General features: G+C 34.2%; 1 protein-coding gene across 12 annotated transcripts in view; it reads right to left on the minus strand.

Moving 5' to 3' along the window:
- The window catches only part of DNAI4 (dynein axonemal intermediate chain 4), a 111,972-nt gene that overhangs the window by 4,754 nt on the left and 88,239 nt on the right, over positions 1-18,979 (minus strand). For 7 of the 12 annotated variants that reach the window (XM_047430752.1, XM_005271212.4, XM_011542161.3 and 4 more), the window contains 6 exons: positions 17,988-18,139; positions 16,353-16,510; positions 15,947-16,068; positions 10,174-10,272; positions 9,182-9,408; positions 4,723-4,879 (listed from right to left, as the gene is read on the minus strand). In XM_047430752.1, the coding sequence (XP_047286708.1) occupies positions 4,723-4,879; positions 9,182-9,408; positions 10,174-10,272; positions 15,947-16,068; positions 16,353-16,510; positions 17,988-18,139 (915 nt within the window). Of the gene's footprint in view, positions 1-4,722; positions 4,880-9,181; positions 9,409-10,173; positions 10,273-15,946; positions 16,069-16,352; positions 16,511-17,987; positions 18,140-18,979 lie in introns of those variants that run through there. The other 5 variants (XM_017002354.2, XM_017002353.2, XM_047430731.1 and 2 more) reach the window with 2 other exon arrangements.

Raw genomic sequence — 18,979 nt, forward strand, 5'->3', positions numbered from 1 at the left:
AAAGTTGTAATCCTACTGCATAGGAAAACTGTAATAATTTAGAATTTAATGATACAGTAAATCAATGAATTGAAGTCAATCAAGTGATCCAGCAACATGGGCAAGGTTGCAGACTTCTGTGAGATGATGGAGGACTTAGGTAATGTGTAACTACAATTTAGGAGACATGGACTGGGAGACAAATGCACTGGAGCATTGACAAATCAACAGTAAAACAGGGCTCAGGCTGGCAGCTAAGGTAATTAGGTAAATCCCCTTAAATGTTCACAATGTCAGGCTTCATTCCCTGGCTAAAATCTTAAGTCAAGATGCATCTTGGCTAGTTGTGAAAATAATCTTCAAAACTACTTATAATGTTAATCTTTTTTACCCTGAGAAGAATAAACACTGTGTAAAAAATGATGCAGCAAATGAAACAGATAACTTTAGTATTTTTGGCATTAAGGAATGTATATATTTTTAATATTTTAAATATTCATTATATATATGAGAATTTGCCATATTGGAATGTCTAACAGAAACATTTGCTTCTTATATAAATGTGTAATTTTGGTAATTGATTTAGACTTACAATCATGGATTGAAATCTTACTAATTTGTAAACAGCATTGGAATATTTAAGAAAATATAGTATTCATCACATTTAAAATTTTTAATTTATGAAATTACTAAGAATTCCTTAAGTATCTGAGACTTGTTTGTCCATAAGAAAATTGAAGTACTTAAAAGTCCAATATATTAAATTTATAAATGAGATTTAAAATATTTAAGAAAATTTAATTAAATTGCAAAAACTCACTTAGCATGTATTAAAATCTGCTAGACTTAAAAAGAGAATAACAAAATATATAATCTAAATGTAAGAACTTAAGATGAACTGTTCGTTTTTTGTAAATCTTATATCATTTGAATATGAATTTTTAAAATCAAAGTAGACTGAGTAATCTTTTGTACATATAAAGGCTACTGTAGAGAACATTAGAAATAAGAAATAAATTGGCCAGGTGCGGTGGCTCACGCCTGTAATCCCAGCACTTTGGGAGGCCGAGGTGGGCGGATCACCTGAGGTCAGGAGTTCGAGACCAGCCATGGCGAAACCCTGTCTCTACTAAAAAAGTACAAAAATTAGCCAGGCGTGGTGGTGGGTGCCTGTAATCACAGCTACTGAGGAGGCTGAGGCAGTAGAATTGCTTGAACCTGGGAGGCAGAGGTTGCAGTGAGCCAAGATCGTGCCACTGCATTCCAGCCTGGGCGACAAGAGTGAGACTCCATCTCAAAAAAAGAAATAAGAAATAAATTGTTAAAAACACCTCACATTGATACTTCCTTATACATGTCTCCTATTGTACATGTGTAAGATGTGATTCTCTATGGCTTGCATGGTATTTGAATTTTCCATTTTATTTCATTGCTTTCTGAAGAGGCTATTTTAATTTCTATTACCAGTATATAAATTATTAAATTACTCTTATACTGGCCCCTTTGCCACTTTTCTCTCAAGCAACTTCCTTACCAGTCAAAAAAGTCAACTTATTAGTTCCTTAAGATGACATGAGCCTTTCCAATTCCTTATCTTTGCTCGAGATTTTCCCTCAGTCAGGAATAACAATTCCAATTTTTCCTTATCTGCAAGGAAAAATCCTAAACCTCCAAGCATAGCTGAAATTTAATCTCCTTTGTGAAAACCTTCACAAAAGCATTCTCTTATTTTCCTTTTCCTCTTCCCATTCACCTTCCAAAAGTCAATTATTCTCCTGCTCTGTGATTCTATAGTAGTTCATTATTTCTGTTCTTTATGACTTGATTATAGTTTCTTGAATATCTATTGTCCCTTTCTTAGAAACCATGTCTTTTGCTTGTGTGTTTGTTCATTCAGATAGTCATTCAGTATTCACTGAATGCCCATTATGTGCTAGTACTGCGCTAGACACTTACATATATGTTTCCAAGGGGCTCATACTAGTAAGAAAAATAAGTGTACGAAATACTGCAACTTATATTGATAGATTATTGTCACACTTGACAGGTTTTATATATATATATAATATACACACACAAATACGTATATACATTTGATGAAAAGAAAAGAATCAACATGTCAATACTCACAGATTTCTCTTCCACCACTATCTCCAACACACAATAACAAAAATTTTCAAACAACTCAAACCACTCAATTCCCACTCCCAACCACCGCAAATTCAGAGTTTGTGGGCAAGTTCTTAGAGCTCATGTGAGATGGACTAAGAGAATCATAGAGACTTTTTTTTTAAAAAAGATGAATTTAGGCTTTGAGGCTACATTTAGAATTGGAGGCTTATGGACAAAAGAAGAAAAAAAGATTACTATAAACTATGTATTTGGATTCACTTAAACATTTTAAGACATTTGAATAAGAATGGAATTTTCTTTTAATTTCTTTTGGTCATTGAGTTGTGTATCTTAGGCAAGTTTCAATGTGGAGATAAATATCCCAGTTCCTGTTAAAATATCTGATACTCAATAAATGTGTGAGAAATGAAAACATGTTTAATATCATGAAAAAGCCATTAGGATTACATTCCTCAGAGTAGACTAAAATTACTATGTAAGAAAACCAATGCATTTTGCAAAAAAAAATACAGATGATATGGAAAACAGGTAAGTAAAAAGAAAAACTAAAATTTATCCATGACTCCACCACTAATAACTAATAATTGTAATACAAAGCATGTTAATTTTTTCTCTAGTTTTTCAATGCATATTTATTCAACAAGCATTTATTGAATAACTACTATAAGCCAGACACTATACTAGCCCATGGCAATACAACCCAGAAAAAAGAGACAAAAAACACTGTTTTCATAGAGTTAACATTCTAGGTGTGGGACACAGGCAATTAACAAAATATATAAATAAATTATGTTATAATGCATACATAAATTTATATATAAATAAATATAAAATGCATAAGCAAGTTTATGTATATTCAAAGGTGGTAAATGTTATTTAAACAATAAGTCATGAAAGAGTATTGAATAGGGAATGTGAAAGATAGTAGAGGTTGCAATTTTAAATAAGATGATCAGTAAAGACTTCACTGAGAAAGTGACACTTGAGCAAAGATTTGAAGTAAGTAAAGAAATAAGCCCTGTGAATTTTAGGCTGGGGAAATGATAAGCATTTTATTATTTTATTTATTTACTTATTTAACATTTGTAGTCTGTATGGTTGGGACAGAACTCTACCTCCTACATGTGACCCAGATCTAATCAATCATCTGATTTCCCTGGCCACATTTCCTTCTTGTTGGATATTTATGTTGTTCTGTTTTCCTTTTCCTTTTCTTTTCTTATCATCTCATGAGTAATGCTATAGTTAATTTATTTTATTAAATTTATAAACATTTCTATAGGCTAGTCTCAGAAGTGGAATTACTAGTTAAAAGGAATCAATATTCTCTAAACATTTCTCTTTTTTTTTTTTTTTTTTTTTTTTTGAGTCAGAAGTTTGCTCTGTTGCCCAGGCTGGAGTGCAGTGGCGCCATCTCAGCTTACTGCAACCTCCCTCTCCCAGGTTCAAACGATTCTCGTGCCTCAGCCTCCTGAGTACCTGGGACTACAGGCACCCGCCACTACACCCAGCTAATTTTTGTATTTTTAGTAGAGACAGAGTTTCACCATATTGGCCAGGCTGCTCTTGAACTCCTGACCTCAAGTGATGCACCTGCCTCGGTCTCCAAAAGTGCTGGGATTACAGGTATAAGCCACCGTGCCCAGCCTTCTCTAAACATTTCTAACAGTCTTGATTCAGATTGTCAAATTGCTTCCAAAAAGTTATACCGATTTCTATTCCAACCACCAGTATGAGAGGACTCATCAAATGTTTGCCAGTACAGAGTAGTCTTATTAAAAAATTATTTTTAAATAAACCTTGTAAATCTGATATGTGAGAATGCTATTAGAATTTAATAATATTTTATCTTTTAAATTATTAGTGAGGTTGGATTTTAAAACATATTTACTAGTCATTTTTTGTGAATGACCTGTTCCTGACCATTGCCCATTTTTTTATTTAAGTCTTGGTGTTTTTTCATATTGATTTGTGCATATTTTTAATATTTTAACATATTTATCATATTTGTGCTAATATTTACCAGATTATTGTTTATAATAACAATCTAAACATAAGAAATAGAGAAAAAATGAAAATTTTAAATTGAAAACTTTTTTTAAATAATAGGCATCTATTGACACTGAGTTGTCTGTCAAAGTTCGACACAAAACTTGGGTATTTGAAGAACGTGGAATAAGAGAATATGATAATGCTAATCCAACAGAAATAAATGCCCATTTCAGGAACATTGGAAAATATCTAAAAATAGAATTATTTTATGTAACAATCTTTTAATACATGATGTAAACTTCTTTGAATATCTTTAAGAATTATTAAGTCCCAATTACATACTAGGCACAATTTTAGGTTATCCCATATAATATTTACAATTATTTTGCTCACCAACATTATTATTCTCATTATCTTTTACAGATAAATAAGACGAGGCTGAAAAAAAAAAAATAACCCTAGTAGGCACCATGTATAGAAGTTAGCAACTCCTGGAATTTATGTTCTTTTATTATATTACACCTAAGATATTGAGAAATGTAAATCCTTTGCATGCTACAAAAGTATAACTGAATAGACTAATAAAATGACACAAATTTTTTTACTCTTGAGTCTTACCCGGCCAGTTTCCAAAACAGTAGGCATATTTCTCAGTTCATACACAGAAACCTGTCCATCACTGTCTCCTACCAGAAGGCAATCTGTTTGTTTGGCAAAGAGAATGGTTGTGAACTTGATTCCAGGGTTAGCAGTATTCACAATCAGAGGGTCCAAACTGTAATGAAATATTTTATTTGTAAATTCAATTGTTATATTAATATGGTCTTTTAAATAGACAAAGAAAAATTTGACATTTTTTAAATTAAATGTAACAAAAACCATAAGCCTATTTAAGTGTTTCCAAACTCAAAATAACTGCTCCTCACTCCTTACTCAATCAAAACCTTCATTTCTTCAATGAACTAATTTCAACCAGGTAAATTAAAGTACTTCACAATTAAGATGTGAACTCATAAATTTAAACTTCTGTGATGGTTAATTTTGTGTGTCCACTTAGCTAGGCTATGGTACCCAGAGGTTTGGTCAAACATCAGTCTATTGTAAAGATATTTTTTTCAAATACAATAACATTTAATTCACTAGAATTTGTTTTTTTTGTTATTTATTTATTTATTATTATTATATTTTAAGTTTTAGGGTACATGTGCACAATGTGCAGGTTTGTTACATAGGTATACCTGTGCCATGCTGGTGCGCTGCACCCACTAACTCGTCATCTAGCATTAAGTGTATCTCCCAATGCTATCCCTCCCCACTCCCCCCACCCCACAACAGTCCCCAGAGTGTGATGTTCCCCTTCCCGTGTCCATGTGTTCTCATTGTTCAGTTCCCACCTACGAGTGACAATATGCGGTGTTTGGTTTTTTGTTCTTGCGATAGTTTGCTGAGAATGATGATTTCCAATTTCATCCATGTCCCTACAAAGGACATGAACTCATCATTTTTTATGGCTGCATAGTATTCCATGGTGTATATGTGCCACATTTTCTTAATCCAGTCTATCGTCGTTGGACATTTGGGTTGGTTCCAAGTCTTTGCTATTGTGAATAATGCCGCAATAAACATGCGTGTGCATGTGTCTTTATAGCAACATGATTTATAGTCCTTTAGGTATATACCCAGTAATGGGATGGCTGGGTCAAATGGTATTTCTAGTTCTAGATCCCTGAGGAATCGCCACACTGACTTCCACAATGGTTGAACTAGTTTACAGTCCCACCAACAGTGTAAAAGTGTTCCTATTTCTCCACATCCTCTCCAGCACCTGTTGTTTCCTGACTTTTTAATGACTGCCATTCTAACTGGTGTGAGATGGTATCTCATTGTGGTTTTGATTTGCATTTCTCTGATGGCCAGTGATGATGAGCATTTTTTCATGTGTTTTTTGGCTGCATAAATGTCTTCTTTTGAGAAGTGTCTGTTCATGTCCTTCGCCCACTTTTTGATGGGGTTGTTTGTTTTTTTCTTGTAAATTTGTTTGAGTTCATTGTAGATTCCGGATATTAGCCCTTTGTCAGATGAGTAGGTTGTGAAAATTTTCTCCCATTTTGTAGGTTGTCTGTTCACTCTGATGGTAGTTTCTTTTGCTGTGCAGAAGCTCTTTAGTTTAATTAGATCCCATTTGTCAATTTTGTCTTTAGTTGCCATTGCTTTTGGTGTTTTAGACATGAAGTCCTTGCCCATGCCTATGTCCTGAATGGTAATGCCTAGGTTTTCTTCTAGGGTTTTTATGGTTTTAGGTCTAACGTTTAAGTCTTTAATCCATCTTGAATTGATTTTTGTATAAGGTGTAAGGAAGGGATCCAGTTTCAGCTTTCTACATATGGCTAGCCAGTTTTCCCAGCACCATTTATTAAATAGGGAATCCTTTCCCCATTGCTTGTTTTTCTCAGGTTTGTCAAAGATCAGATAGTTGTAGATATGCGGCATTATTTCTGAGGGCTCTGTTCTGTTCCATTGATCTATATCTCTGTTTTGGTAGCAGTACCATGCTGTTTTGGTTACTGTAGCCTTGTAGTATAGTTTGAAGTCAAGTAGTGTGATGCCTCCAGCTTTGTTCTTTTGGCTTAGGATTGACTTGGCGATGCGGGCTCTTTTTTGGTTCCATACGAACTTTAAAGTAGTTTTTCCAATTCTGTGAAGAAAGTCATTGGTAGCTTGATGGGGATGGCATTGAATCTGTAAATTACCTTGGGCAGTATGGCCATTTTCTCGATATTGATTCTTCCTACCCATGAGCATGGAATGTTCTTCCATTTGTTTGTATCCTCTTTTATTTCCTTGAGCAGTGGTTTGTAGTTCTCCTTGAAGAGGTCCTTCACATCCCTTGTAAGTTGGATTCCTAGGTATTTTATTCTCTTTGAAGCAATTGTGAATGGGAATTCACTCATGATTTGGCTCTCTGTTTGTCTGTTGTTGGTGTATAAGAATGCTTGTGATTTTTGTACATTGATTTTGTATCCTGAGAGTTTGCTGAAGTTGCTTATCAGCTTAAGGATAATTCACTAGAATTTGAATAAAGCTGATTACCCTCCATAATGTGGGTAGGCTTCATACAATTAGTTGAAGGCCTTAAAAGAAAAGAATGATATCCACCAAAGTGGAATAAAATTCTACCTGCAGAATGCCTTTCTACTCAAGATTGCAACATGACTCCTGCTGGAAATTCCAGCCCGCCAGCCTGCACTGCAGATTTCATACTTGATAGGACCCACTCCTTAAAATAAATGTCTCTCTCAAGAGATAGATATAAAGATAGGAATATATAGAGACAGAGACAACAATAGATCTAAGTAGATACATACATCTTATTGGTTCTGTTTCTCTGGAGATCCCTAACACAACTTCTTAAATAATAACTGTCTTTTTTTTTTTTTTTTTTTTTTTTGAGACGGAGTCTCGCTCTGTCGCCCAGGCGGGACTGCGGACTGCAGTGGCGCAATCTCGGCTCACTGCAAGCTCCGCTTCCCGGGTTCACGCCATTCTCCTGCCTCAGCCTCCCGAGTAGCTGGGACTACAGGCGCCCGCCACCGCGCCCGGCTAATTTTTTTTGTATTTTTAGTAGAGACGGGGTTTCACCTTGTTAGCCAGGATGGTCTCGATCTCCTGACCTCATGATCCACCCGCCTCGGCCTCCCAAAGTGCTGGGATTACAGGCGTGAGCCACCGCGCACGGCCTAATAACTGTCTTTTAACAGAATAATGTTTTTATCCAAATGAACCTCTGGAACGTACAAGTACATTTTGAACAAGAAGTTTTCCTAGTCTTCGTCATCTAAAGCAATCTACCTAGTGTCCTCAAAAGAAGACAAGTAGCAAGTTTGCATACTTCTTTTAAAAATGTGTTGTCCTGGGAATTACAGTTTTTCCAGAAAAATTACAATCAGAGGTGGGATTATTTAAGAAGCCACTTTATACATTAGTCACCTCATACTTGTAATCCTTGATTTGTAATCCTTGGTTCATACTGTTTTGTAAAACAAACCAGGACAAAATTTTAAAGTTACTGAATTATCAATTCCTAGCAAAAAATTTTCTCATAAAGAATAAATCCATTGAATTTGACATCATTTCTTTCAAACAAGAATTTATTTTCTTGCTTTTGCTAAAAACTAGCATAAAGATATATTATAATTTCCAACTGAAAAAGCAGAACCATTAACGTTTTTATTTCAACATTGTATTAAGTTTTCATATTAGGAAGAATAAATTAATTTAGACAATCCTCTAATAACTTTGGTGTAATATCTTAAATCAAAAATTTTAATTAAGTTCATACCCCTCTGAATATTTTTGAAACAAGGTAAGAGCATAAGTAAATGTTGCAAAAATAATTACTTTGTCCCTTTTTTCTACTGTAGAAAATTTTTAGTTAAAAATGTAAAAATGCCTGTGTATGTTTCTCTAAACCAGGCAATGAATAAGAACTCAAGATAGCTATTATATCCTATATCGTCCTATAAAAGTTTGAGGAGATGAGTAAGGTAAACCACTTTCTTTAGTCTTTTTTTTTTGAGACAGAGTCTCACTGTGTTGCCCAGGTTGGAGTACACTGGCGCAATCTTGGCTCACTGCAACCTCTGCCTCTTGGGTTGAAATGATTCTCCTGTTTCAGGCTTCCAAGTAGCTGGAACTACAGGTGCATGCCACCACACCTGGCTAGTTTTTGTATTTTGGTAGAGATGGGGTTTTGCCATGTTGGCCAGGCTGGTCTTGAACTCTTGACCTCAAGTGATCCTCCCGCCTCAGCCTCCCAAAGTACCAGGATTACAGGTGTGAGCCACTGCGCCCAGCCAAGGTAAACTACTTTCATTCAAATACTTTTAAAACCACATATGGTATAAATAATTGACATTAATATAGCATCCTGGCATTATCTTTATTCATAAAGGACTCTCATAAACTATTACTTCTTTTAAAGTAACTACAATACCCTCTAACTGGTGTCAAAACTATCAGGTATCACTTAGTTTGAACTGCTTCTACTAAAATTTATGCAAGAAAAATAGTAACTTACGTGCTGATATGAAGGTCCCAAATCTCCACCCTGTTCTCATTTGCAGCTGCAAATATATAGGATGATTTTGGAGACCAGGCAACGTCGTAAACAACAGAAGTAGCTGGATAAAAACTCAAAGATGGCTTGACATTCTCCTGTTGCCATATAATAACACCCCAATCTGCAGAACAGCTTAAAAATACATCATGACAAAATGGATTCCATGTCACTTTATACACTGGACCCTAGAAATAAAAAAAAAATACATAGGTAAATAATATTTAACATCTTTTATTTTAAACTTGACCAGCAAATTAAAAATGCTAAGATTTCTAGATTTTCACACTATTCATTATTGTGTGGGCATTATTTTAGTTGAGAATAAGATCACAGATTGAATCTTCCCTAAATTATTACATTTAGAAACATAAAAATATAGTTGCTACAATATTCACTAAATTTAACACATATTATGCATACTTTGAAAAAATAAAGAGTATTAAGAAAAAAAAGAAATGAGGGAGAAAATGAAGAAAATGTGGCTGAAACAATCATGACAAGATATATAGCCAGGTGCAGTGGTGTTTGCCTGTAGTCCCAGCTGCTTTAGAGGCTAAAGTGGGAAGATCAAGTGGAAGATAAAGTGGAAGTTCAAGGTCAGCCTGGGTAACAGTGAGACCCATCTCTTAAAAAAAACATTAAAAAAAATAAGCTATAGAGACTAGGTATGGGTGAAAGACAATTTTACTTTAGGATCAGCATGTTATCATAAGCAAAGTCTTTTAGAAACAAAACTTCCAAACTTTCAAGAAGAAATCAAGGATATCTAGAAGTCAAATAAAATGCCCCGTACATTATTGGTGGTTTCCATAGAAGAAAACACTTAATTCAAGATGGTATTTTTAACTCTGAAGTTGTAAATTTATTGCATATTACATATTCTGTATATAATGGTACTGTTTTTTCAGAAATACAAAATAAATGTTCCAACCTACTATAATTAAACTAACCTTATGTCCTCTGTAGGTATCTAAGTATTGTTCATTATATGAACAAGAACATTTGTGAATATGACCTTCTTCAGTGCCAGCCAAATAGATATTTGTGTCCTACAACACAAAACATCGAAATGCATTGGCTTGTGATACATTAGTAAGTGTGATAAATAGAAGATTAGATATTTCTGGATCTATTAAAATCAATTCAAGAACCCAAAATAAAAACACTATCTTGAATATACCAATCTTGTCTTTTTCTTTTGTCATGATTTTGTAATAATCAAACTACCTGAGAGACTACTGTGCAAAAGAAAATATAAATTGGTCCTTTGCTGGAATCGGGGTAGCATTTAATATCCTGTATGGAAATTACATAGAAAAACACTGGCTTAAAATAAATAAGAAACTTTCTAACATTTAGAGCTACCTGACAATGGAACTAGCAGTCCAGGGAAATAGTAAGTGCTCTTTCATTACAACTATTCCAAGAAAAGACAGATATACACTTTCAAACTACATGATATTGAAAAAAGAAAAAAATAAATTATATGATAAAGTATAATTTCTCCCAAATTGGTATTACCAATACATATTCCCAGACAGTCGTATATAAAAGTGATCTGACTCACATTCTCTTCAACAGTTAGTTACATCAGAAATATTAAATGTTGCCATTCTATTAGATGTAAAATTATATCACCTGTTTTTAATTCCTAATTATGTGAATATCAATAAGGTGGAGCACTTTACGTTCCTTGGCCACTTGTGTTTCCTCTTATTTTGTGTCCCGATAATTTTAGTAATAATACGTCTTGTTATTTTTCATTTGTATAAGTTCTTTATATATTCTAGAATCTATTGCTTTGTCTATAACATGTTATAAATATCTTCTCTCAGTGTATGATTTACCTTTTTATTTTCTTTTTACTGTCTTCGATGAACATAAGTTTTCATTTTCTGTTATATTTAGCATTTTTTGTGCTTTAAGAAATCTTTCCCTACCTTAAGGTCCTAGAGATATTTTCCTACATTTTCTTCTGAAAGGTTTTTGTGTATGATAGGATAGAAATCGAATTCCTTTTTTAATATGGATACTTATTATTCTAACACCATTTATAAGTGGTCATTTTTCGCTAGCGATCTTCAAGGTCACTGTTGAAAGTTGGGTTTCCCAGCAAATAAACTCTGAGATTTCATGCCAGAGTGTTAGGGAGTGCTCTCAGGAACAACCTCTATGTGGGAAACAGGAATGGGCAGATATTTCAGTTGAGCCGTGACGCAGTTGCAATCAAGGGCTTAGTCCAAAGTATAAGAAGCTCTGGAGAGAAGATGGCCCTTCAGAGTCCTGTCTCAAGATAAGGAGGCCAGATATTTTATATATGCCCCCTTCAAGCAAGATGTTAGACTCAAACCTAACCATACTAATAATCAAACTAAATGTAAATGATCTTAGCAGCATAATTAAAAGGCAGTGATTTTAAGATTGTATAAAAAGGTGAGACCCAATTATATGCTACCTACAAAAAAATTTAAGTATAAAGAGACAAATAGGTTAAAAGAAAAAGCATAAAAAATGACAAACCAGGCTAACACCAGTTAAAAGTAAGCTGAAGTGGCTATACTAATATCATGCTAAGTAGATTTCAGAGTAAAAAAAATCACAAGTTATAAATAGGGCCATTTCATAGTGATAAAGGAGTTAATTGATCAATAGGACATAATAATGCTAAATATATGTATGTACCTAATAAGAAAGCATCAAGATACACAAAGCAAAACTGATAGAATTACAAGGAAAAATAGACAAATCTACAATTATGGTTGGAGACTTTATTACCTCTTTCTCAATAATTGAAAGAAGTAGGAAGAAAATCAGCAAAGAGAAGTAATCTTGAACAACATTATCAGCCAATTTAACCTGAATGACATTTATAGAATATTCTAACCAAGAAAAGCATAATACATATTTTTCTCAAGTATACAGGGAATATTTACCAATATAGACCACATACTGGGCTTTATAACAAATCTTAATAAATTCACGGAGTTCAGTTTATAAAAAGTATTTTCTCTAATTATGGTGGGATTGAATTAGAAATTGGTAACAGAAAGAACTTTGGAAAATCCCCAAATATCTGGAAACTAAATAACATGCTTCTAAATAACCCACCCATCAAAGAAGAAATCAAGGGTGAAACTGGTAATTTGAACAGAATGAAAATGAAAATGTAACATATCAGAATTTTTGGGATGCTGCTAAAGCAATACTTAGGGAAAAATTACAGCAGAAATAACTACATTAGAAAAGAAAAAAGTCATAAATCAATGACCTCCACTTTCATTCTAAAAAATTAGAAAAACAAGAACAAATTAAAACCAAAGTAAAGAAAAGAAATAATAAGGATCAAAGTGGAAATTGATGATAAAGAAAACAAAAAAAAAATAGTGAAAACCAATTAAGTCAAAAGCCATCTCTTTGAGTTCAATAGAATTGATAAACATAAGTCAGACTAATCAGGAAAAAAGAGAAGACACAAATTACTAATATTAGGAATCACAGAGTGGTGTCATGGTTTATGCCTATAACCCCAGCACTTTGGGAGGCCAGGGCAGGAGGATCACTTGAGCCCAGGAGTTTGACACCAGCCTGGACACCATAGCAAGACTACATCACTACAAAAATAAAAATAAATTAGGCCAGGCGCGGTGGCCGAAGCCTGTAATCCCAGCATTTTGGGAGGCCAAGGCAGAAGGATCACTTGAGGTCAGGAGTTTGAGACCAGCCTGGCCAATATGGTGAAACCCTGTCCCTACTAAAAAAAATTCAAAAAAGTAGCTGGGTGTGGTGGTGCACACCCGTAATCCCAACTACTCAGGAGACTGAGGTGGGAGAATTGCTTGAACCCAGGAGGCGGAGGTTGCAGTGAGCCAAGATCACTCCACTGCACTCCAACCTGGACTATAGGGTGAGACCCTGTCTCAAAAAAAAATAAATAAATAAATAAAATAAAATAAATAAAATAATAAATTAGCTAGGCATGGTGGTGTGTGGCTGTAATCCCAGTTGTTTAGGAGGCTGACGTGGGAGGATAGCTTGAGCCCAGGAGTTCAGAGTTACAGTGAGCTATAATCATACCACTGCACTCCAGCCTAGATGACAGAGTGAGACTCTGTCACAAAAAAAAAAAAAAAAAAATTAGAGGTGAGATTACTATATATTCCACAACTGTTAAAGGATGCTAAGGGAGTATTATGTCAATAGATTCCACAACTTCAATAAAATAGACAAATTCCTTAAAAGACAGAAATTACCAAAGCTCACTCAAGAAGCAATAGATAACCATAATAACCCTATATATATTAAAATTTGATTTTGTAGTTAAAAATTAAAAATCTCCCCACAAAGAAAACTCCAGGCCCAGATGGCTAATTCTATTAAGTATATAATGAAGAAATCATACTAATTTTATGAAAATTCTTTCTAAAAGGAATTCTACGCAGGCATGATTACCCTGATAGTAAAGTCAAAGATGTCACAAGAAAACTATAGATCAATCTCTCTTCTAACCAAAGATTCAAAAATTCTAAACAAAATTTCAGTATATCAAATGTATTCGTATATTAAAAGGGTAGTAAACAACAATCAAATAAAGTTTATTCCAGGGATAAACATTCAAAAAATCAATCTACTTCACCAGATTAACAAACTTGAAAAGAAAAACTATATGATCATCTTTATACATACGGAAAAGTGTTTAACAAAATCCAACATCCATTCCAAATAAGAACCACCCAACAAACTAGGAATGTAATGGAACTCCCTCAATCTGATTAATTCTGTCTACAAAAAGCCTTCATCTGACACCATACCTAATAGTAAAAGGCTAAATACTTTTCCTCTAAGATCAGGAACAATACAGGAATGCATGCTTTCATCATCTTTACTCATCACTGTACTGGAGGTTGTAACCAGTGCAATCGTACAAGAAAGAGAAATAAAGGCAAGCAGGTTAGAAAGAAAGAAGTAAAACTGTTTTTATTTACAGACCATATGATCATCTTGAATTCCTTATGCAAAGGACACCTCAGGACACTAGACTAGGTTGTCTCAACCAAGCATTATTGACATTTTGGGCCAGATAATTCTCTGCTGGGGACTGATGTGCACTGGGAGGGTGGTGGCTGCCTGTACATTGAAGGATATTTAGCAACATCTCTGGCATCTTCCCAGAGATACTGGTAGCCCTTCCCCACCCTCACCTCAATTCCTGACAGCTGCAACAGCCACAAATATCTCCAATCATTGCCAAATGTTCCCTAACGGGAAAATTCTCCCCTCCCTGCCCACATTGAGAACTAGAGTCAAAGTTAAGGTGAATTAAAGGAATTTGAGAATGAAGGAAGTTAGAAGATGGCTGTAGTAGTAAAAGTAAAAAATAAGACAGATCTGAACTACATTAGCAATAGCAGGCTTGGGCTGGAAGGGATGGGACAATCAAATTTTAAGTATCATTTAGATGATAGGGTAGAATAGAGGAGCTCAAGTTTTGGTTTGCATAATGAGGTAGATGATGGTGTCACCAAAGAGATGATCATATTACATGTAACAGAAAACATGGAACACATGTTCTGAAAAAGCCTATCATAGTGGCTGAATATTCTGATTCCAAAGTATCTCCAGACTGATAGAGAGTACAAGGATGGTTACCAGAGGCTGGGAAAGGTAGTTGGGGGTAGGGCAGTGGTGGGGATGGTTAATGGGTACAAAGAAATAGAATGAATGAATAATATCTAGTATTTTATAGCACAACAGAGTGACTATAGTCAATAATAATTTAATTGTACACTTTAAGAGAACTAAAAGAGTATAATTGGATTGTTTGTAACACAAAGGATAAATGCTTGAAGGGATGGATACCCCATATTCTATGATGTGATTATTACTCATTGCATGCCTGTATCAAAACATCACATGTACCCCATAAATATATATACCTTCTGTGTACTCATAAAAATTAAAAATAAAAAACAAAGTATCTCCAGATAAAAGAAAAAGGAGGACTTCATTAACTGTGCTCTGATTTGATGCTTGGTAAACATGAAATTAAGTAGTCTTTCTAATCCCCAAATCCTGAGAGTCACCACGTGAATTGAAATGTAGAAGACTATATACAAGTGGATTAGGTTTCTGTAAGTATGATAGAGCAGCAGAGTGGCCAAGGGGGGCAGGGAGAGGCACTTGAGTTAAGCACAAAGTTGTAAAGAGAATTTTTCCATAGTTACTCAGAAATATATACCTCTCATCTATCTATCTGCAAAAGCAGATAAAGATCATAGTATAGCCAACTAGAATGTACCATTCCACCTTAGGTTAGCAGCTAAATCTGTCATTTTTTCACTTACAAAGCACAATTTTAAAAAAAAGCTTTATTGGAATATAATTCACATATCATATAATTCACACATGTCAAGTATATAATCCAATAGTTTCTAGTTTGTTCATAGAGTTGTGCAATCATCACCACAATCAATTTTAGAACAGTTTCATCATCCCCCAAAAAACTCTATTATCATTAGTAAGTCATTCCCTATTTTTCCCTCCCTCCTCACCTATTCTTCCACCTGCATCCCCTAGCCCAGGCAATCATTTATCTACTTTCTGTCTCTAATATATTAGGCACAGTATTCATTAACAGGCTAATATTTGGTCTTGTTTTATGACTTAATACACTTCAATTTTTGGAAATTGTTATGTCCAGTGGTAAATAAGAGTGAAATAATTTACCTTGGGATGAAAAGCAAAACACATTCCAGGAGCCTGTCGAGATATCAAAGCTTCATCTTTCTTTTCCTTTTCCCCTCCTTTTTTGTTACTGGCAGCTGTAGTTCTCTTTAATCGCATCAAATCTGTATTTAAAGAAAAACATATATAACTTGTTATTTACCACATGAAAGAGTACCGCAAATATCATGTGTGTTTCTCCTGCAAATAATAATATTAGTTCTGCCAACTTTTGCATGTAATTAGGCTAAAATTAGCACACACCAGAACTAGCTGCTTAGAAAAACCATGACCAACCCAATTTTTTTCTTATTGGCCAAACCAAAATTTGTCATCTTTCACACATGGTTAACTAGAAAATTTTAATTCAGCACGTAACAAGAAAAATATAACTTGATTTTTCTTTTACCATAACAGTCTAGTCCTTTTCGTATAACCCATTTGGAGATTCTTCCATCTGCTGATATAGAAACTAGTATTTCTCTTTTGCCATCTCCTGTTGTTCCTCGATCTTGTTCTATCCACTGTAGTTGCCATACAGGTCCCAAATGTTTTTGAGGTGATTCACTAAAACAGTAAAAAAAATACTAAACATATAATCATTATAATAATTTCTTAAAGGCCTTGGAGTATAAGTGATAAGGTCAGCTTTCTAGAAGATCATGACCTATTTATATAATCCTTTTATTGTTCAAAAATAGACTTTTATTTTAAATATTTTTAAAAAAGAAAAGACAACCACTTTTCTACTTAATACTCACTGTTATTTTTTGTACTTCTTACAAAAGAAAAATTGTACTGGTCTTTAACTATATTAGCTATCATAACAGGAATACAAAAGCAAAAATGTTCTTTCTTTTCAGAATCTACTTTTCTTACTCTATTCATTAATTCTTTCTGACTTTTACTTTATTTTAGACACATGGAATATAAGTATTTTCATCTTTATGATGTTTCTATGAATTAAGTTGTTAATCATTTAAATCTTATCCAGGTAAACAATTCTTCTTTCTATATTTCACTCTTCCTCCTATGCTTCAAGATTGCCCATTGGTTTGACTCTCTCTATGGATTAGAGTTAAAATTTTTCTGAAAAATTAAACTCACTTCTCAGATTACTGACTCTTTTCCTATCAGATTAATGTGATGTTCTTTTCGTGGTACTGACTACCTTGATTTTTAATACAAACCCTCCAATGAAATCAATTCTGAACATTTTTAAAATCATACATATCTTTGATTTTTTGGTGAAAATTATGGACCCTCTTCCCAGAAACAAGCACAAAGGCCTATGCTTACAAAACTGCAAATAATTTGAAAGTTAAGTTTAGGAACCTCTGCTTTAATGGTTATTTCTAGTTCTAGCTAAGTTTATTCAAACACTTTTACAAACATGCCCCATTGGTATCTTGTCTATTACAAAAACCTAGCCTTTTTAATATCTTTCACCTCTAACTTTTTGGCTTTCCTCATATGACTCATTTATTCATCAATTACTCATCAAACACTTACTGGACTCCTGTTACATGTCCCATGTTATATGACATGCTGATGACAGAAAGGTATGTAAGATTCAATCCTTGCTCTCAAGGAACTTATACCCTCCTTAGACAGATAGATAGATAGATAGATAGATAGATAGATAGATAGATAGATAGATAAGATAGATTTACATATATACACATAAATAATTTTTATATACAATGTGATAAGCACTATGATAAAGGTATGTATAGGTTGCACAAAAGAAAGGAATGGGAACATTTTCTGGAAGAAGTGAAACCCAAAGCAATAGTTTAAGAATAAGCATAAACTGTCAAGTCAGAGGAAGTTCGTTAGTGAGATGGGCAGAGAAGAAGTTGAAGGAGCTATTAGGACAGACCATTCCAGCTGGAGAGACAATATGAGGGATTATGAAATGTTTCAAAAATAATGGTATCACTCTCAGTAACAACAAAAATATTTACTCAAAACTAAATAACATTAGAGTAAATCCTCCTGAAAAAGCATGTATTATACATTTATCTAATTCTCGGATTCTTACCTACTATCCAGAACTGGAACATTACTGTTGCTCCGTACATTGTAAATTGCAATTGTGCCATTGTGATAGCCAACGGCTAAAAGGTTAGGTGCTCCAATTGAAAAATCCACAGCAGTAACTCCATATGGACTCTGATAAATACGTTCTGGCCACTAAATTTTAAAAAATTACATTTTCAATTTGTTTTTGTAGACCACAGTAAGGCAGAATATAATGGTGGCTGAGATTTAGTTTGGTGGCAGTGGGTATGTGAGCAGAGTTAGCCCACATTCAGTTACTTCTGTCTTCCTAATTTCCAGTATAGAAAATAATAAAACCTCACTTGGTCATTTCCTTTGATACAAGTATGAATCTTCAGCACTCAATGGCTTTAAGAAATAGAGTGTTGGGCATGGGGGCTCACTCCTGGAATCCTAGCTACTAGGGAGGCTGAGGTGGGAGGATCACTTGAGACCAGCAGTTTGGGACCAGCCTGGGCAACATAACAAGACCCTCATCTCAGAAAGAAAGAAAGAAAAGAAAGAAAGAAAGAAAGAAAGAAAGAAAGAAAGAAAGAAAGAAAGAAAGAAAGAAAGAAAGAAAGAGAGAGAGAGAGAGAGAGAGAGAGAGAAAGAAAGAAAGAGAGAGAGAGAAAGAAAGAAAGAAAGAAAGAAAGAAAGAAAGAAAGAAAGAAAGAAAGAAAGAAAGAAAGAAAGAAAGAAGGAAAGAGGGAAGGAAGGGAGGAAAGTAGGAAGGGAAGTACAGCACAGCCTTCTACAATAATTATATTTTGGTAATCTTTCAGCAGGATTAGTATCACCATCACCTGTCTACCTTCTTATGGGAACAAAAAACTAATCATCTAGCATATAATTCCTGTCTTCTAGTATTTGTTTCAGATGCTTGGATTATCTAAAGAATGAACAGAAAAAGTTCCAAAACTCCCCAAGTTACTGTGTTCTACAACCCCATGAAGAGTTTGTTTTGTTTGAATGTCTAATTTAAATCCTTTC

The sequence above is a fragment of the Homo sapiens genome, chromosome 1 (genome assembly GCF_000001405.40).
Source record: "Homo sapiens chromosome 1, GRCh38.p14 Primary Assembly".
NCBI classification, from domain to species: Eukaryota; Metazoa; Chordata; class Mammalia; order Primates; family Hominidae; genus Homo; species Homo sapiens.